General features: G+C 39.5%; 1 protein-coding gene and 2 pseudogenes across 4 annotated transcripts, besides 1 other annotated feature; 2 read left to right on the top strand and 1 right to left on the bottom strand.

Moving 5' to 3' along the window:
- Positions 839-2,038: an enhancer, noted in NCBI's record as "BRD4-independent group 4 enhancer chr14:71066874-71068073 (GRCh37/hg19 assembly coordinates)". NCBI's record gives its function as "activates an origin of replication core promoter dependent on BRD2, P300/CBP, MED14 and CDK7 cofactors, and independent of BRD4, by STARR-seq in HCT116 cells {active_cell/tissue: HCT116}" and the evidence as "EXISTENCE:reporter gene assay evidence [ECO:0000049][PMID:35650434]".
- Positions 1,540-18,974, top strand: MED6 (mediator complex subunit 6). Of its 4 annotated transcripts, NM_001284211.2 has the most exons (9): positions 1,540-1,579; positions 4,418-4,577; positions 5,493-5,584; positions 8,817-8,899; positions 9,207-9,315; positions 10,814-10,929; positions 16,412-16,439; positions 17,252-17,378; positions 18,065-18,974. In NM_001284211.2, exons 1-9 carry the CDS (start codon positions 1,558-1,560, stop codon positions 18,099-18,101), a joined length of 774 nt encoding a protein of 257 aa, NP_001271140.1. In that variant the 5' UTR covers positions 1,540-1,557; the 3' UTR covers positions 18,102-18,974. The 4 variants fall into 4 exon arrangements, with proteins under 4 accessions (NP_001271140.1, NP_005457.2, NP_001271138.1 ...); NM_005466.4 differs by having other exon boundaries at positions 17,252-18,974; NM_001284209.2 differs by having other exon boundaries at positions 9,186-9,315; positions 17,252-18,974.
- KRT18P7 (keratin 18 pseudogene 7) lies at positions 6,308-7,693 on the bottom strand (annotated as a pseudogene).
- Positions 7,767-8,284, top strand: DUXAP12 (double homeobox A pseudogene 12; annotated as a pseudogene).
- Positions 18,975-20,966: the final 1,992 nt, after the last annotated feature.

The following is a 20,966-nucleotide window of genomic DNA, read 5'->3' as shown; positions in this document are numbered from 1 at the left end:
GGATTACAGGCGTGAGCCACCTTGCCCTGTCTTCCTCAAGTTATCTTTCTAAAATGGAAGCTTGATCACATTTCTCCCATTGCCTACAAAATAAAGGTTGAGCTTCCAGGTCTTATTTACCATGCATACCATATGTTTTATTATCTACAGATCTGCATTCTGTCACTATTCTTCCTAATCTCCTTCTAGCCTAATCAAAACACAAGGAAACAAAAAACTAGAAAAACAAAACAAAAAGCTTTATGGATCACACTTTTTATTGGACACGATACTCTTCCTTTTTGCAATGTCCTCCCACTAGGCTCCCAACCAGGCCCTCCTGAAAAATTCTCTCTCAAAACTTTACTCTGTGCATGCACATACTTCTGTTGGGACACCTATTTTATACATACCATCTCAGGCAGAAAATTCCCAAACTGAAATGTACAGGCAACGTACTTTTATTCTACGGAGTTAACAAATTTTTAATTCCTTGTCTATGAGGTTGAAAATCCCAATTAAATTTCTGGTCTTCCCCTCTTGCTCCTGGGTTGTGGTTAAATTCTTGGGGAGTCTTCACAGTACCTAAGTTTTGGAGAAGATGTAGGCACCCGCCCTCATCCCTCCTTCAGATTTTGGCATCCTCTTCCTAGTATCTGTGTGTTGTTTGCATATTTCTGTATCGTTTTGCTTTTACAGAGCCACACTGAAGCTTGAGAATCTGAGGCTTTCTGTAGCTTCCCCGTACACAGAATCATTCCCTCTTTGGAGCCTTGCTACCTACTCCAGACTACTTGGAATGCAGACATTTGCTCATTACTCTGGGACCCAGGGGTATTCCCTTTCTCTTAATCTTATTAATATTTCACTTCAGAAGCATTTCCTGTGTTGTGAAATTTTTCTCAGAGGCTTCTTTAATTGGTTTAGATTTTTAATGGATTTAGTCACATAAAAGCCAATGACTCCCAAATTCTTAAGTCCTGTCCCATCCCAATACCTGAGGCAGGGAGAAAAATATAAATGACCATCGTTCCTAAATCTGATAGCTCAGTGGATACACCCGGGGAGCTTTTAAAATTAAGAGACACTCCCAAGCACAACTCTACAGCATCAGAATTTGTTTTCTTGACGATCACAGACGATCAAGGCAGAATTCTTCCATCAGTGGTGGGCGTGGGGCGGGACTCCACTCGGTCTTTCTGTCCTCTAAGTCTTCTAATTTTTTTCCCAGTAATCCGCCCTCCCGTTCTCCTTCTTTGGCCCATCCCTCTTCTAGTCTTTCCCTGCTCCCCTGCACCAATCTTTCTGCGTCCCGTCCCCTCCCATTCCCCTACCCCACCCCACCCCACCCCACCCCACGTTTCCCGCCTCCCGCGCCTCTCCCGCTTTCCGCCCCCTCGCGTCTCCTCCCCTCCCACCCGCACCTCCACCCCCTGCCTCTCTCCTGCCCGCCCCGCCCCCTCTTCCGCTCTACGTCCCTCCTCACCCATGCGCACTCTCTTCAACCCGCTGCTTCCGGCGGCCTAGGCTTACGTTTACTTTGCGCCGGAAAGAGAACCTGTAAACGCTCTCGGAATTATGGCGGCGGTGGATATCCGAGGTATACTGTATTGCTATATTTTGTCTCTTGATTGTCTGTGGACCAGTTTGGGATGTTATAGCTCGCGGTTTCAAGGTTTAGGTTCCTTTGTGTGAAGTCTCAAGCTTTTTTGAGTGGTTTTTGTGGACAACCCAAGGCTGTGATCTAGCGAAACGTTGACGAGTTTTTTTTTTTTTCTGAGTTCTTGGAGCGTCTCTTGGAAGCGTCGGAGAGAAGGGGTTGGAAGAAGCTCTGGGTTTTGAGCTTTCAGAGCTGGAGTTTTGTTCTACACACGTATCTCTGCAACAACATTAGGGCTATTCTATTGGAGTGAAGGAATGGCGTTTAGGCAGAGAAGGGAATGGGGTAATAAGCCAACTTGATTTGATTCATCTCTTGGGACTTGGCATGGTGGCTGCCTAATTCTTTAGACCGCGCCACACGGGTCCCTGAGCATGAATCCCAGATATTTTCTTTTTTTTTGAGTCGATAATACTTTACATCGAACGTCCAGCAATTATTATGGGCAGGGGTCGTATTTTTTTCACAGCTGAACTGCAGAAGTACTCAAATATTGAATCAGTCAGTGAATAAATGTATGGAGATGTCACCCCTTAACTGCTGCTTGATCTTGGGGAGCATGTAGAGTTGTTTTTGTGTATATAGTACTTGATTTTTAAAGGGAGATGTTTGAGATGCCTTTTTTTAATATTAACTGGATTGGGGTCTAACACATTTATTACAAATATTCTCATTTATACTTATCTGGCGATCTGCAGCACTTCTGGATCATGATTTTACATACGTGTCTTTCATTATTTATTTCATCACTTGCTGATGGTTAGAATGCTGTTAGAATGCTTGGGCTATGTCAACATGTTGCCTTGCTACAGAATAAAAAAGAGAAATATTTAGTTTATAAAATGTTTTACTTATAATTCAGATTGTTAGGATCATGGCAAAGACTCTAAAATAAGAGTGTGTTTGGTGTGTTAAAGGAACAGCAAGGAGGTCAGTGTGGCTGGAGGGTAGTGAGAGAGGATGTGGGAAGGAGATGAAGTCAGAAAGGTGTTGAAAGCTATGATAAGGTCTTTGGCTTTTCCTCTGAGTAAAACGCAGAGCCATTGGAGGGGTTTCCATCAGAGGAATGATGTGATCTGACTTTTTTTTAGGACTACATTGGCTGCTGGGAACAGTGTAGGAGGGCAAGGGTAGAATTAGGAAAACCAGTTAGGAGGCCATTTCTGAAAATGTTATTTCCTGGCCTGTTGTGTATTTGGTTATTGCATGATCCAGTTATGATGAACTATCTAAATGGTCTATACTAATTATTTGGTTATTAACGCACTTCATCTGTCTCCTCCTTTATTTTATAGCACACAAAGTACATTTTACCTTTATATAATTTTTCTCGGTTGAGTCACTTGGCTCAAAACTGCCTGTCACCTTGAATTAGGTCTGACTTCTTTGAAGATGCCTGAGGTAATGACAGTATAAGAGAGATTGAAGTTTTTCAACCAGTATTGTATAGGCATTTTGATGTTCATGATTTACACCTAGTGGTGTTCAGTACAGTCAGTGGTATGAAGCATCATGAAAGCCAATAGCCAATACAAGCTCATTTATTAAAAGTATCTAGCTCTATCATGTCTTTTTAAAAGCTATGATTTAATTCTACGCTAAATATGAAACCGTGTGGCTGTAGTTAAGGGAACTCTACTTCCTGTTTATCCCTTAGCTTTTACATCATTATCATCTCATCTACAATAATAGCTTCCTAACTTCTCTATCCCTAATTGAGAGATCTCAAACTGGTAGCTATAGATGTGTTCTCTTGGGCATACATGTTATTTGAAAATTTTGAATTCCTTGCCAGCATTAAGGATTTCCAATAAAAAAAAAAGTCCTTTCTAAATTTTAAATCTTATCACTTCTTCACCTAATGAAATTATTCTCTAAAGATATAATATACTTTATATTTTTACACCTCTGTATATACATTCTCTCTGCTTGGAATTACTTTGCCCTTTTCTCTGTGTAAGTTTTTATTTATTCTTTAACATACCGTGCTAAAACCCACCTTCTCTCCACATGAAAAATGATTTTCGTTTCCCCAGGTCCTCTGTAGTCTCGTAACACATTTCTTCATGTCTTTTTTTTTTGAGACGGAGTCTCGCTCTGTCGCCCAGGCTGGAGTGCAGTGGCGCGATCTCAGCTCACTGCAACCTCCGCCTCTTGGGTCCAAGTGATTCTCCTGCCACAGCCTCCCGAGTAGCTAGGATTACAGGTGTCCACCACCATGCCCGGCTAATTTTTTGTTTTGTTTTTTTTCTTTTTTTGAGACGGAGTTTCACTCTTGTTGCTCAGGCTGGAGTCCAATGGTGTGATCTCGTCTCACCACAATCTCCGAGACCTTCTGGGTGCAAGCGATTCTCCTGTCTCAGTCTCCCAAGTAGCTGGGATTATGGGCATGCACAAACACGCCAGGCTAATTTTGTATTTTTAGTAGAGACGGGGTTTCTCCATGTTGGTCAGGCTGGTCTCAAACTCCCAACCTCAGGTGATCCACCTACCTCAGCCCCCTAAAGTGCTGGCATTACAGGCTGAGCCACCGCACCCGGCCAGAATTTTTTGTATTTTTAGTAGAGACAGGGTTTCACCATGTCTTTATCATAAGACTTAATCATGTTATTGCTTTCTTGCATAATCTCTTCTGTTACATCATGAGAGTGTGTTGGTTAGGATCTATGTCATCCTTATATTCATAGTGCCTACTACATTTGATGTATAATAAATGTTTGTTGGATTGGATTCTTTCTATTTTTCTAATCCTTTATCATTTTGTTTTCTTTCCCATAGACAATCTGCTGGGAATTTCTTGGGTTGACAGCTCTTGGATCCCTATTTTGAACAGTGGTAGTGTCCTGGATTACTTTTCAGAAAGAAGTAATCCTTTTTATGACAGAACATGTAATAATGAAGTGGTCAAAATGCAGAGGCTAACATTAGAACACTTGAAGTAAGTTATTTTAAGAAGGTGGCACTTTTTCCAAATACAAGTTTTGCAATGAACAGTTCTTTCAAACTGTGGATCATGAAGTGCAGAGTAGAACTTTTAGAAGAAAAACTGGAGTTTTGTTTGGGTTTATGCAAATTTGACATGCAGGGTAACTATTAGTATTCACTTTTAACAGAGGTCTTTTCTGTATAACTTCATAATGTTTAATTACAATATAACAGGTTTAGATTTGGATCTGATGAGTGATTTTGGCAATGCTACTGTTATTCTCAACCAGGCAACTATAATTATTGTCTCTTTTATATCTAGTTTATATTACAAAAGTATTTGAAACAACTGTTGATATAATTTTCCTGTTAGCTACATATTGAGGAGGAGCTTATAAAATTAAATATCTGTTATATTTTAAATGGCTTTTGTTATGGGGCAAATACAGCTATTGAGACAACTTATTGTTGCTTTTAAACATAATCTGTCAGGTAAAAAAATTTGTTGGGATGAGGATAAAGTTTTTGATGTTTTCTAGTTTGGTAATATATATAGTTGTGTCTTCATGTTTATTTTTATATTTTGTATGTATTCGTAGATTTGGTCAGGAAGCATCATGGCATTTTGATTGCCTTTTTGAAACGGACACTCTTTGGTGTACTTTCCTGACTGAAAATACTTAGATTTAAATTTATAATACATTGTTGTAGAGAAATTTTGTTGTTTAGAAACAAGTCTTACTTTATCTATATGCCACCTGTCTGGGAAAACAGCCAATTTTACTCAACAGCCAGATTATAACACCAAACATAGGCAGTTTTAATCCTATTTAAAGTGTTGCTGCATTTTTATATAATAATTTGAATGTCTTATAAAATTATTTGTAGGGCGTTTATAGATCTTTGGATGTCTGTGTTCTGTTTTCAGTCAGATGGTTGGAATCGAGTACATCCTTTTGCATGCTCAAGAGCCCATTCTTTTCATCATTCGGAAGCAACAGCGGCAGTCCCCTGCCCAAGGTAAAATGTGTAAACTTTAGGCATTGTTTTCTTTTTAAAATACCATAATTTATTTACTTCCTGACCTAACTTGTTTTTTTGATTGGTTTCTGTTTGGGGGGTCTCCAAGACCACATACATGTTCAGTACTATGCTGGAGGACTCACCAGACTTAGCATATGGTTGTACTTACAGCTAAGATTTGTTATGACAACACAGTAAGGGTACGCAGCCAGATTAGTACTGGAAAAAGACATGTCAGGTGGGGTCTGTAGGAATCCATGTGCAAGTTTCTTATGCTTTCCCTCTTGCTTGTGAAGGGCCACAGAGTGTGCCCTCCATCCAGCAGTGAAATGCAGCTGCATTCAATATGTCTGCTCAGGGAAGTCCATATAAGACTCTGAGCCAGGGATTTTTATAGAGGGTTGGTTGCTTGGACATCCTCTGCCCACCAGATTTTTAGATTTTCCAAAAGAAATCTGGTGTCTACTATAATCACATTGTTTGTACAAATTGTCTGCAAAGGCTGGTACAACCAGCCTAACTATCATATAGGAAATGTTTCAAAAGCCAAGTTCCACTAGTTGTATACTTGGATACCAGGACTCTTGGAGCATGCCCAAGGACAACTCTTCAAGCACTAACAGTCAGAGCGACTCACTGCATCAAAGCTACCTCTTTCTGTGAGCACAGTTGGTATACCGACTGAACGTCAAGCATCCCAAGTAATTTTGTTTTGTTTTTTGACCTCTGAACTTTTTATTGGCCTCCTGCTCCTCAAAGGGTACCCTGCTTCTGCTGGCTTAATGTCTCAGAATTTTGATGTTGTTGGTCTCAGACACCACTCTGCCATCCACTACCTGGCGGGTGGGGTCTTTTGGATGGTTTGCATGGAGTTGCTGCTGTCCAGGGCGTCACCAAGATTGAAGTCCTGGCTGTCTTCCAGCAGGCGGCGGTAGGTGGTGATCTCAGCCTACAGCTTGACCTTGATGTTCAGCAGGGCCTTGTACTCCTGGGCCTGGTGCTGCCTCTCTGCCCCGGCCTGTGCCAGCTCCAACTCCAGGTACAGCAGGATCCTGTTGAGCTGCTCCATCTGCAGGGTATAGCAGGCCTCCACCTCCCTCAGGCTGTTCTCCAAGCTGGCCTTCAGATTTCTCATCGAGTCCAGGTCAGTCTCCAAGGACTGGACCGTACCTCTCAGCTCCGTGAGCGTCACCTTAGCAACCCCAACCTTGGCAGACTGCATAGTGACCACTGTGGTGTTCTCCTCAATCTGCTGAGACCAGTACTTGTCTAGCTCCTCTCAGTTCTTCTGAGCCAGCTCTTCGTATTAGGATGTCTCCTGTGATCTTGGCGAGGTCCTGAGATTTGGGGGTATCTACCTTCATCGTCAACCCAGAGCTGGCAGTCTGGGCTTGTAGGCCTTTACTTCCTCTTCACGGTTCTTCATGAAGAGCAGCTCCTCCTTGAGAGCCTCAATCTCTGTAGCTGAAGCCGAGTGACACTGGTGTCATTGACCTTGCAGAGCCCATGGATGTTGCTCTCCACAGACTGATACATGGCCAGCTCTGTCTCATACTTGACTCTATCAGCAGCAAGATGGGCATTGTCGATCTGCAGAACAATGTGGGCATTGTCCACAGTACTTGAGAAGATCTGAGCCCTCAGGTCCTCGATGGTCTTGAAGTAATGGCCCCAATCTCTGACCTGGGGTCCCTTCTTATCCAGGTGCTCCTGGATTTTGCTCTCTAGCCTCTGGTTCTCGGTCTCCAGGCTCCTCACTCTGTCCAGGTAGGAGGTCAGGCATTGAACCAGGGTAGGTTCAGGCTTTGCATGGTCTCCTCCTCGTTCTGGATGCCTCCCATTCCTGCTAGAACCCTGGCCATCCCATGGCCAGGCTCCTGTACCCCAAGCTGCCCTGGAAACCGGTGGAGCGGGACACGGAGATCTGGGAACCAGAGCCTCCGGTGCCTGTATAGACGCTGGCCGTGCTGCTGACTGGCTGGGTGCCGCAGCTGGGCGCCTGGATGGAGCCCAGGGACCAGTAGTTGGAGAAGGTGGAGTGAGTGGTGAAACTCATGCTGTCTGGGGAGGAGAGTGAGAGGACAGGACTCAGGCTTTGCTGATGACCACAATTAACTTTTTTTTTCACATCAGTCCACTGAGTTAATTCTTTTACAAAATGCATGGTAGATCTGGTCATATCAAATTAATAGAGGATCAGTTGAAAATCCTCAGTGATGCATTCAACTAAAAGCCTTGCGTGGGTTATACTACCTACTGAAAGCTTGGTTTAGAAACAACACTGAAGAGTGTAGAGTCCAGATTTGGTTTTGAATCAAAGAGCTAGACACCTTTTCCAGCGATGACCAGAAATTGAAGACATTAGAATCAAGGCAAGACCATGGATAAAGTCATACTGAAGAGAAGATTCAAGATAGGGGAGCCAGATGGGTGTTATTCTAGCTACATCTCTCAATTGGATACCCTCATTAAGACATTTATGGACAATCTTTAACTTGGCATTGTTTTCAGAGAATGACTTGATAAAGAAGTTGTGATTCTGGAATCCAAAATCAGTTACAAAATCAAAGATCTAGAGTCCCTGCCCAGAGTAAAAGAGAACCTTAGAACCAAGGCAAACCAGCGACAAGACAAGATTTCCATAGTGAGAGGATTCAAGGTGTAAAAATTACACAAGACGGCAGTAGCCTCACTAGCAGCTATCTTATTCCTTAGGACCCAGCACTGGGGCACAAAAGCAAGCTCATTGCATTTGATATCTTTACACTGGACCCCCCAGTCTGTCTTGCTCCAAGGTCTTACTCCCTTAAGTAAGGTTGACTGACAACAGTATTGGCATCTTTTGGGAACTCGTTAGAAATGCACTATCCCTACTGAATAAGAATCTAATTTTAACAAGGTCCCCAGGTAATTCAGATGCACATTAAAATTTGAGAAGCACTGCTGGAGGGCAACAGTGGGCATACTTTTTCTGAAAAGGGCCAGTGACTAAATACTTGGGGTTTGTGGGCCTCGTAGTCTCTGTGACAATGCTCAATTATTGCCAGAGCAGCCATAGATAATATGTAAATGATTGGATGTGGCTGTTTTCTAGTACAGCTTTACCAAAACAGTAATTGCTAAACCCTGCCTTATGGGAAAATGTCAGATTTTATTTCTTTTTATGAGAATCTGTTTAGCAGTTTGTGTCCATAGCTGTATTTATAAACCTTTTTTCCCACTGTTTTAGTTATCCCACTAGCTGATTACTATATCATTGCTGGAGTGATCTATCAGGCACCAGACTTGGGATCAGTTATAAACTCTAGAGTGGTAAGTGTCTTCACATTCTTTAAGCACTAAAGAAAACTTTTAATTAGCTACCTTGCTTCCAGTAATCAAACTAGAGCTCCTCTGCCTTGTGTAAGTTGCTATAAAGTATTGACTATTAGAATGTCTTGAACTTTGGTTACTGTGAGCCAAGTCGGTGCTCAAAGTATATTTCATAGTCTCAATTATATAGTAATTTAGGTTCTGAAAAATAGGTTCTGTCTTTGCATATGTAATATTTTGTGAGTATTTACTTTGGAAAGTTTGGTCGACCTAATGATAAATTTAGAGTTTATTTTCCTTTTACAAGCTTACTGCAGTGCATGGTATTCAGTCAGCTTTTGATGAAGCTATGTCATACTGTCGATATCATCCTTCCAAAGGGTATTGGTGGCACTTCAAAGATCATGAAGAGCAAGGTAAGTAGAACATCCATACCCTCCTAAAACACTTTTTGATCCTCTGAGAATGAAGCTGTTTTCTTTAGGAAAATGGCTGTTGATCTTTTCTAAGTGTGTTTCACTTTTTCATGGGATGATGGCTTTGTTGCAGCTGAGATTCATGTAACTAGATGTGGTAATAATAGCTTTCACATAGGAACAGATGCAAGTTCACTCTGTTAGTTAACTGGTAGTCTTTGTTAAGGTGATTCAAGGTTTTAAAATATTTGGGGCCAGGTGTGGTGGCTCACTCCTGTAATCCCAGCACTTTGGAATGCCAAGGCAGGTGGATCACCTGAGCCTAGGAGTTCAAGATCAGCTTGGGCAACATAGTGAAACCTGGTCTCTACAAAAAAAAAAAAAAAAAAAAAAAAAAAAAAGGAACATAGGAGAGACAGTGGTGTGGAATGAGCAGAGATGATATTCCTTACTTACCTGACTGTTGAGTTATCTTGGTATCTGGAACTCTTTATTCCTCCAGTCTTCAAAGCAGAGGAGATGAGAGAGATTGCTTTTTAGAGCCCTATCCCCAGATGGCCAGTCTGTTTTCTGATCTTTGCATCTCATCACCTCTTGTGGCTCCAGGTCCTCCAAGTTTCCATGTAATCTGCTACTGTCTTCATCATATTTTACTGTTCGACTACCTCCAGAAATGTGCCTGTAACAGCATACTTGTATTCTCCATTTCCTTTTCTGAGAAATAGCAAGTCAGAATAAATTACTGAGGGAAACAGCATTTGTATAGAATTCAGACCTGTATCTTCTTAATAGTAGGTATAAGCAGGAACATTTGATGAAGGAAAGTTTGCCTTTGTTGACTAAAATTGGCCCAATGGCTCTTTTCCCCTACGATAACCAAGTGTTCGGAGTAACACTTATCTGGAATCCTTTGCTTAGAGACAGTTTCCCAATACACCTCCCTCCCAAGGGCAAATCCCACATGCGATTAACTTCAGAATTTCTCTTTCAGGTTCTTTTCTTTTTTGTCTTCATAATTTTCTGTTTTATTATTTTTTTTTAGTGAATTACAGTCTTAATAATTGAATATGGTAGCTTGAGTTTGTGAAACCTGCATTTCCATTTGTTGCTAGTAGGTTTTGTGAGAAAAGACCATTTAATACACTTAAAATAACAAAGGTAATTTCAAGCCAATAATTTGGATTGTGTGATTTAGGTAATTATGAAAAACTTTAGCTTTAAAACTCTTACGGTTGTGCGTGCTTATATACCAAAACTGAAGTATCTTTAAAAGACATATGTATCAGCTTAAATGTTAGAATTTAACTTCAGTTAAGAGGGAGAGTTAACAACACTTCTGTATATGTGCTGTGTTTACCTTATTTTGGGAATTATCTTTGGTATAGCAGCCATTAAAAATAATGAAGTTTGGGTATATTCATGGTGGATAAAGATTTGTAAAATATGAGACACCAAACTAAGTAGGCAATGTTTTGATTTGGACTTCGTATTTTAATAGATAAAGTCAGACCTAAAGCCAAAAGGAAAGAAGAACCAAGCTCTATTTTTCAGAGACAACGTGTGGATGCTTTACTTTTAGACCTCAGACAAAAATTTCCACCCAAATTTGTGCAGGTAATGAGAATATGTGTGGTTAATCTTGATTTGACACTTCTTTATGGCATATATATTAATTTTTAATTGAGAACTGTTTCAGATGTGACCTAAAAGTACAATTTTCCTCATTAGTTAAAAAATGATCTCTGTATCAAAGGAAAGGTTTCGAAAGACTTAATGGAAGAAATGGGTAAATGGAATGGAATTAACACTGTTTTGTGTTTCTTACTGAAACTTCACAAACTATGAGGACTGCATGTAGATAATATTCTCATTCAAAAGGTTGCTGAAAGTGTCACAGGTGGTAACAAAACTAGAATATGAAACTCATGCTCTTTTTACTCTACATGCCACCTTCCAGCCTGATGTAGTAGATATCTGAACAACCTAAATGATAGAATAGTTAACACTTGTGTAACAAAAAGAACAGAACATCTGAGGTAGAGTGTTTGGCATAATAAACAGAGGAGACAGGAGTGATGAATAGAGATACCCTGTGTTGGGGTTTTAAGTTATATGAATTCCACTGTGTGATTTGGAGGGGCAGGGAGATTTCTAACAGCAATAGCAAATCCACCTGCCATTCTACTAAATGAGCTTTTGGAGTCTAGTAGATATGGAATGGAATAGATGAATATGCTGTTCTCATGGCTAGTCTCAATTCTTCTGGACCTTTACAATGTACATACAAGATCATATACCCTGTTTTTGTTAGGAGCTCTTTAAGGGATTTTCAAGGGAAATTTTAAACTAAATGACATTTTTCACATGAGATGACTTTAGAACAAGCCTCCCCTTTTCTCTTCCCTGACTCTGCTGTAGTGAGAGATAGGTGCTATTGGAATTGTGATGTAGTGGTGAAGAGAGCAGAGGACACAAGATGGAACTCAGGACAGGAAAGCCAGTTTAGAGGAATCTCATCAACTGCACTTGAAGATGGAACATAGTCTGTTGAATAAATAAATAAATGAATTATAGCTGTAGTAGGGTGATGAGTGACCTCTACAGAATGTAAGAGGTTAGGTGTAGTTGACCATTCATTTGGTGAGTACATAGTGTATGCTAGGTAGGCCAGGGGAAGACACCTAGACATGTGCTGTCCAGTATGGTAACCACGAGGCACATGTGACTATTAGCATTTGAAACACAGCTAGCCCAGATTGAGTTGTGATGTAAGTGCAGTATACATACTGGATTTCAGACTTGTATGAAAAAGAATGTATGTAAAATATCTCAGTAGTTTAAAAATATTGATTATATGTTGAAATAATATTTTAGGTATATTTGGTTAAATAAAATACATGTTTCTTTTTAAAAATGTGACAAGAAAATTTAAAATTACATGTATAGCTTGCATTTGTGGCTCACATTTCTTTTGAACAGTCGTGATCTAGAAAACGGTAATAGAACATGCAAAACCAGAAACATGAGTTAGTGAACATATGTTCAGAAACCAGAAGAATCCTCTGAAGGTTTACTCTGTGTTTGTGGAGGGGAAGAGTAATGGAAGATGAGACTTAAAAAATGGATTAAGGTCAGTTGAGAAGGATTTTGTATGCTATGCAAAGGAGCTGGGATTTAATCCTGGAGGCCTATGTTTCTTCTCTATTTTAAACTTACAACCCATTACCACTCCCATAAACATAACAGGCCTCCAGATGCATTCAGAGTTATTTTAAGTTTTAAACCAATAGCTATCATAACCAAAGGCAGACCAAACCAGGAGAAATTTTGTATAATGTTTTTCAAGTATATACTCTAGGAGTGTATTCTCACTAAAAACTCCTCTATCTCATCTTCAAGTGACTAGTTGAGAATTATTGCTGATGGTGATAAGGACCCATTGGGTATTTAAAAGTAGTTGCAAGGGAGTGGTGTAGTCAGTTTTGTGTTTTAGGAATGCAACTAGTAACAGTATGGGGGGGATGCTTAGGAAATCACATGTGAAGTTTGGAGTCAGGGCACTTAAATTGTGGAAAACTTGAATTCTGTGGCCATAGGATAGAGAGGAGACAGATTCAGGAGGTATTTCGAGTTAGGATTGCTTTAATTTGGTGGTTGGATTTGGAGAGATTGGACAAAGGGTGATTCTGTGGTTTTAGGCCTAGAATTAGACTAGGTATTATTAACTAAAATTCAGAATACAGGGAAAGAAACAGATTTTGGTTGAAATAACAGTTGTTAGGGGTTTGGTTTTCATTGACCGACCTAAAGAACATTCGGTAGTTTGCTGTTGTATTTGAGTCCTGAGGTACTCCAGTGAAAGACAACTTTTTTTTCCCCGCCCCTGGCTAGGGATGCTGCCTTGATTCTTGTTTGCTGTCCTGTCCTGGTGAGCTAGGCTAGACGTTATAGAAAGCTCAAAGACTCTCTTGATTCTTAAAATAAAAACTCTTTACTTTATAGAAAAGTATGGTAATTTTAAAAACATGAAAGCAGAGAGAATAATTAAAAATGAAACCCCCTCTACCCTTTAGCCTGCCTCAACAGTTATCAAAATGGCCAAGCTTGTTTTATCTCTTCTTCCCCTACTTCCTCCCAATTATTATTATTATTATTATTATTATTATTATTATTATTATTATTATTATTATTTTTGAGACGGAGTCTCACTCTGTCGCCCAGGCTGGAGTGCAGTGGCACGATCTCAGCTCACTGCAAGCTCCACCTCCCAGGTTCACGCCATTCTCGTGCCTCAGCCTCCTGAGTAGCTGGGACTACAGGCACCTGCCACCACGCCCGGCTAATTTTTTGTATTTTTTAGTAGAGATGGGGTTTCACCGCGTTAGCCAGGATAGTTTCAATCTCCTGACCTCGTGATCTGCCCATCTCGGCCTCCCAAAGTGCTGGGATTATAGGCATGAGCCACCGCGCCCGGCCCCTCCCAATTATTTTTAAGCAGACTGCAGATTTCATATCATTTCAGTGAGTTTTTTACCTTTTTCTTTTAAAGGTTTAGCCACATTCATACTTATATCATCATATTCCTGAGCCATTTCTTTTACCATCCAAGGGCCAAAAACCAACTCCCAAAGATAGAGTATATCCAGCTCTGTGTAACATAACTAGGAGAAAGATGGCTTTCTCTAGAACTATTAATAATCTTTTTGCTTTTCCTAACAAAAATTTTTCCAGCCTCAGATCTAGAGAAGAAAATAATCTACTGCAAGTCTCCCAGAACTTCTTTTAGCTCATATGAACTCCTCTTTACCCATTGCATCCTCCAGAACTACCTGTAGTTCGGATAAGGATACAGCAGGTATTCCTACTAATCAATTTTATCGAGCAGTTGGGCTTGTGGTACCCAGGGATGTTGCCCCTGTAAGGGGATGTTCAGGAGAATATTGGAGAAGTCCTGTCTGCTTCTTTGAAGCTCCTTTTTCCATATTTTAATTCTTGTTACTGCTGGAAGTTGCACTAATACTGATGTGATGAGAGTTTCAGTCCTTGGAGCCTTTTATGAGGACTGTCTTTTTATTGCTGGTTTTAGAAGCTGCTAGAATACCATAGGATATTACTTCAACTAGGATTATCTAAACCAAAGCCACCTGATTAAATTTGCTCCAAGAAGCACTCTTGTTATATATCCCCATCTCAGACCGTGTTCTACTAGTCTAGCAGGACTTACTAGAAAAGATTAGACAGTGTATTATGTTGGGTAAATAATGACATTATTCCAATGTCCAAATATAGTTCAGTGTCCAATATAGTTTAAATGTAGTTCAGTGCTGACAGTAGAAAAATCCCCCTTTTCAAATTTTTTACTCTCCTCAATGTTCCTCCCTATGTTTCCTCTCCTATTTTAAAGAAAAACAATTTATTCCCTCAAAATTACTTTGGACATGTTAAGTATTGATATTTTCACAAGATAATGTGATATGTGGCTTTGTTGGGGGTTCTCATGATGACTCCCGTATTTGGGGATTGCTAGCAGGACTCAGAGGACTCAGCATGTAGTTGTACTCAGCTAAGATTTATTGCTATAATATAGCAAGGATGTATATAGCCAGATCATAAGGGAAAAGGACACAGCAGAGTCTGGAAGAATCTATGTGCAGGCTTTCTTATACTTTCTCCTTCCCTTAAGAGGTTACACAGAGTGCACTCTTCTCTCAACAGTGAAAATGCAGCAACATATGTGTGATATTTCTGCCCAGGGAGATCCATTAGAGACCTGGTACCCAAGGTGTGTTTTTGGAGTTGGGGGAGCTCTTCATGTAGGTATCCTCTATCTAGCACATACCAAAATTTCACAACCTCTGAAGAAAGCAGGTATTCAGCCTAAATTGCATTGTTTGTACAGTCTAGGCACAGTGAGCCACTATTACCAGGGAATGGTGGGAACCCTCCAAAAATCCAAGTTTCTAGACACTAACCAAGGGCCAACCTTGCAAGCAGGCCTTTCTAAGTATAGCAGCCTCAGGCCTTCTGTGGTAACCTTTTTATTGCACAGTGGATAATAATGTGAAGCTCAGTTTTGGTCTTGTTAAGTGTAAAGATTCCCAGGACTTGCAGTTGGAGTAGGATAGTTGGCAGTTGTCAGCATGAACCTGGAACATGTAATATCAGAAAATTTTGTAGTTAGAAGTGGGAATAGGTAAGAAGGCCTAGGGAGGGCATGTAAATCCAGAAAGATTCAGCACACAGATGGAGGCATTAGAAGTGAAGAGACTGTTTTTTCTTCTAAGATGATATGGAAGTAATAAGGTATTTTAAATATATATGTGTATATGTATATAAAGTTATAATAAGTTTGAAGGTAGATGGTAAGGAAGTTGGTGGTGTTGGCATCCTGGTTTTGTTGTTGTTGTTTTTAAACATGGGAGACAGTGTCATCGGATGAGGGGTAGAAGAAGACAAGAATGTCGTAGAGCATTTAACTTGGGGAATGGGGCAAAGGAGATGACAGAGCTTAATCAAGTGAAAGAATTGCTTGCAGAGTGAAGGACCTGACCTTGTTTCTAACCTCTAATGCTCTTATCTTTTTTTCCTATAGATTGGTTTTTAATAATAGACTCATCAGAAATCTCTTTTCCCTCCAAATTTCCCATGCCTACCAACTTTAAAAGTCATGGTTCATCCATACTTCATTCTCCCTTCCCATAAGTCATAACCCCTAAGGAAATAAGACTCTGGGGTATTGAAAGACTTATTATTTCTTCCCATTGGATTCTACTGAACTGCTTTTTATAAAGCATTGTAGCCTGGGTGTGGAGGTGGAAGTCTTTGTTAAATGTTCAAGTGTTTTTATGGTTGGTTGACTATCTTGTTCTAGTTTTTGATTTGTGTCTTTTCTGGAATGGGGAATAAGAAGTAGAAAATGATAAATTTACTTTATAGTACATACATAGTAGCTTTTCTTCACAAAGTCATTTGAAATGTAATTTGGATGAAGCTTTCATTTTATTAATATGACATCAGGAAGAAGAAATTTTGCCAAGTTGACCTGTTTTCTTCTTTTTCCTCTTCCTCTCCCTCCCTTTTTTCTAAAAAATTATAGCTAAAGCCTGGAGAAAAGCCTGTTCCAGGTATGGTTCATGTAATATTCTTATTACGCTTGAAATAAGGTCAAACAGCTTGTAAATCAATCACAAGTATAGCATGTGAAATGAGCTGTGGTCATTTTGTCCTTCTAGAGCTGGGGCTGGGTCTCATTGGAAGAAGAATTGTCTTGGGTCACACATAAAATAACACTAATGATGGCTGATGAGCTGAAAAAAAAAAAAAAGTCTCATAATGTTTTAAGGAAGTTTACAGATTTGTGTTGGGCCACATTCAAAGCCATCCTGGGCCTCATGCTGCCCGTGGGCGGTGGGTTGAACAGTCTTGTTCTAGAGTCTCCCATTGTAGTTTTTTACTCTTAATCTTTGAGAGCTGCTGAACTGTCAGCAGGTGGTGCCATTGTGGTAGTGATTGTGGTAGTGAAAAGATGAATTGGGAGGGAAAAAGTAGGTATTGAGGAGGTGTGAGGAAGCCACTGTGATTCGAGGTTTCTTCATCAAATCTGTATTTTTACACAATGATGTTTTCTGTTACATTATTGAAAACAGGTATTGAACCATCATGGTACTGGGTTAGAATAATTATATATCTTGTTTTTACATACTGTCTTACTTAAATGCTATGTAGTTTTGTCTAGTATCATTAATTTCCTTGAGTTTTCAGGTTGTTAGGTTTGTAACTGGGTTCTTGTATACATCTGCCTGGGGAAACAGCTAGATCTAGAACTTGAGATAAGCAGTTAAAAATGAATTTGAAAATGTGAGCCATTCATATTAACCATTTATCTCATTCCCCCCACCCATATCTCCCTCCCAAAAAATCTACTTTTGATATCTAGTGGATCAAACAAAGAAAGAGGCAGAACCTATACCAGAAACTGTAAAACCTGAGGAGAAGGAGACCACAAAGAATGTACAACAGACAGTGAGTGCTAAAGGCCCCCCTGAAAAACGGATGAGACTTCAGTGAGTACTGGACAAAAGAGAAGCCTGGAAGACTCCTCATGCTAGTTATCATACCTCAGTACTGTGGCTCTTGAGCTTTGAAGTACTTTATTGTAACCTTCTTATTTGTATGGAATGCGCTTATTTTTTGAAAGGATATTAGGCCGGATGTGGTGGCTCACGCCTGTAATCCCAGCACTTTGGGAGGCCATGGCGGGTGGATCACTTGAGGTCAGAAGTTCAAGACCAGCCTGACCAATATGGTGAAACCCCGTCTCTACTAAAAATACAAAAATTAGCCGGGCGTGGTGGCGGGCGCCCATAGTCCCAGCTACTCGGGAGGCTGAGACAGGAGACTTGCTTGAACCCGGGAGGTGGAGGTTGCCCTGAGCTGATTATCATGCTGTTGCACTCCAGCTTGGGCGACAGAGCGAGACTTTGTCTCAAAAAAGAAGAAAAGATATTATTCCCATCATGATTTCTTGTGAATATTTGTTATATGTCTTCTGTAACCTTTCCTCTCCCGGACTTGAGCAACCTACACACTCACATGTTTACTGGTAGATATGTTTAAAAGCAAAATAAAGGTATTTGTATATATTGCTTCATCATGACTTTTTTCTTCATCATAACTGATATTTTTCAGATGCACTTTGAAGACATAAAGGATGTTAAAGTAGTAACTAAGCATATTTCTTTTTGTTCAGTTACATAATCCTCAGTATTAAAATAAACAGTTGCTGACATTTTGGAAGATGAAGAAAAGGAAAAACCTCACTCACCAATACCATTACCCTATAAATACTGTAACAGTGTTGTGAATTTTAATCTTATTCTGTGTGTAGATACTTCTTTTTTCAATAAAGAAAAGGAATTTTATTTTTTTTAAAGTTATGGAGGCTGAGAAGTCCAGCATTGATTGGCTCCATCTGGTGAGGGCCTTCTTGCTGGTAGGAAGTCTGCAAAGTCCCTAGGCAGCACAGGGTATCTCATGGCAAGGGGGCTGAGTGTGCTTGCTGCATGTAGATGCTTTTAAAACTGTACTTTAATCATTCCTTTCGTACAATTTTACTTTATTATATCTGTTGTAAGCTTTTCCCCATGTTTATGTAGTTTTTATAGACTGTTTTAGTGTCCGAATTTCTGTAAATGATTGTATCTCAGTTTTCTTTCTGTCTTATATTTGGGATTTTTCCCAGTTTACATTATTTTATATAAGACTGCTGTGATTATATCTTTGTATAATGCCTTTTCAGTGTTTGGTATTTATTTCCTTAGGATAGAGTTCCAGAAGTGGAATCACTAGAGTCTCTGCATTTTTATTGCTCTTAGTCCATATTGCTAAGTTGTTCCTCAAAATGTTGGACTAGTGATCACTCAAACAGCGAAGTTTGAAAGTATGTATCAGGTTTTCCAGAATTGCTACCACTGAATTTTGTCATTTATGTTTTTAGTGTTAAGTAGCAAAAGTGGTATTTTAGTATTTAAAGTAGTTGAAGAATTTCTCATCTTTTTCTGCTTTTATGAAATGTCTAATTTTATGTATTGTGTGAGATTTTTGTCTTTCAACTTCTTATTTTGACATAATTTCCGGCAAACAGAAAAGTTGTAAGAATAGTACAAAGAATTCCTATATATACCTTTTACCCTACTTCTCTATCTGTTACCATTTTTCTGTATTTTAGTCTTTATTTTCTTTCTCTCTTTCTTCTGTCTCTGACTCTTGCTCTCCTGTCGCTGTTTCTCTCTTTCTCTCTCTCTCTTTCGATGTTATTTGTGTTTCACCAGTGGTGCCAATAATGTCATTTACAACAGAAGAAAATCCTGAGTTATGGGCCACATTTAGTTGTCCTGTCTTTTCAGTCTCCTGTAACCTGGAATAGTTCTTTAATCTTGCTTGTTTTTCATAACCTTGATATTTGTAGTTGAAGCCATGCATTTTGTGGAATGTCTCTCAATTTGGGTCTGTTTGATATATTCTCATGATGAAATTCACCTCATGCATTTTTGTGAGGAATGCCATAGAAAAGATGCTTACGGAGGCACATGCTGTCAGTTTGCTCCGTTTCTGGTGATGTTAACATTAATCACTTGGTTAAGTTAGTGTCTATAAGGTTACTCCACTGTAAAGTTATTTTTCCTTTTATAAGTATCTTGGAATATTTTAAGGCTCTGAGTATCCTGTTATTTCTCAAACTTTTACCCACTGGCTAGCCTCCATTGATAAGTCTTGCCTGAATCATTTATTACTCTGATGGTTGCCAAATGGTGATTTTCTGATTTCATTGTTTTATGTTATTAGTTAGCTTCCTGCTATAAACAGCTTTCATTTCTCCTTCCTTTCTAAAAATATCTTTGTGGACTCCTGGATTCTTATTTTCTTCAGTGTGTATATTTCTTTACTATCATTCATATTGATGCCCAAATTGTCCTAAATCAGGCCAATGGGAGCTCCTTCAAGCTGATCCTGTGTCCTTTTGATATGACTTAATCATCCATTGAGTGATTTCTTTGCTGTTGAGCACAATCAGATATTCCAGGCTCATTTCAACGCTGGAGCCAGGCACTTCTATTTCTTTTAGTGGAGAATAGCATTTGGAAATCAAGATCTGCGTGCTGGGTATGTTCATTGCTACTGGGGTGTCATTGCTTCTAGGCCTTTTCAACTGACAGGGTCAGTAATGGAGTAAAACTCATTGTAATCGTGTAACTTATGTGGGTTAAGAAATTGAACTTTGCTAGTACCCCAGAAGCTCCTTTATGTCCCCTCCTGATTTTAACGCTTAATCACCTTCATCCTCAGTTTTATGGTAATCACTTGTCTTTGCAGTTTTAGTCTGTAACCATGCATCCCTAAATAAATGTTTAGATTGCCTATTTTAAAAATTTAATATAATTGGTTCAATGTGTGCATTTCATGTATGACTTCTTTTATGTCTGTGATGTTCATCAGAGTTGTTTCATTTGTAGTTATTTTAATTTCTGTGTAGTATTATGTTTCATGAATATATTACAACTTTAGGATTCATTCTAATGGTGATAGACATTTGTGTTGTTCATAGTTTTTGGCTATTAAAATTGCTTTTATAAATATTCTATTTTTATGAACCTGTAAGATGCAATTTCAGGAATATTCTAATCGTGTGAATATTATATTGCTTTTTGGTGTATATTATGGGCTGAATTGTGTCATCTTCTTCAAACAAGGTATACAGAAATCTTAACCCCCAGTACCTTAGAATGTGACCTCATTTGAAAACAGGGTAATTGCAGATGTTATGGGTTAAGATGAGGCCATACTGGAGTAGAGTGGGCCTCTTATCTGATATGACTGGTGTCTTTATAAAAGGAAAGCTGTGTGAAGAGACAAAGGGAGAATGCCATGTGAAGATGGAGGATCGGAGTGATGCGTCTACAAGCCAAGGAATGCCAAAGATTTCCGGCCAGTCACCAGAAGCTAAGAGGCAAAGAAGGATTCCCCTACAGGTTTCAGAGAAAGCATAGCCCATATCCCTGCTGACACTTTGATTTTGGATTTTCAGCCTCCAGAATTTTGAGACAATAAATTTATTGTTTAAGTCCCCCAGATTGTTGTACTTTGTTAGGGCA

This window comes from Homo sapiens, chromosome 14, assembly GCF_000001405.40.
Source record: "Homo sapiens chromosome 14, GRCh38.p14 Primary Assembly".
In the NCBI taxonomy this organism is placed as follows: Eukaryota; Metazoa; Chordata; class Mammalia; order Primates; family Hominidae; genus Homo; species Homo sapiens.
Note: the sequence above shows the minus strand (reverse complement) of the source record. Positions and strands in the feature narration are given on the sequence as shown.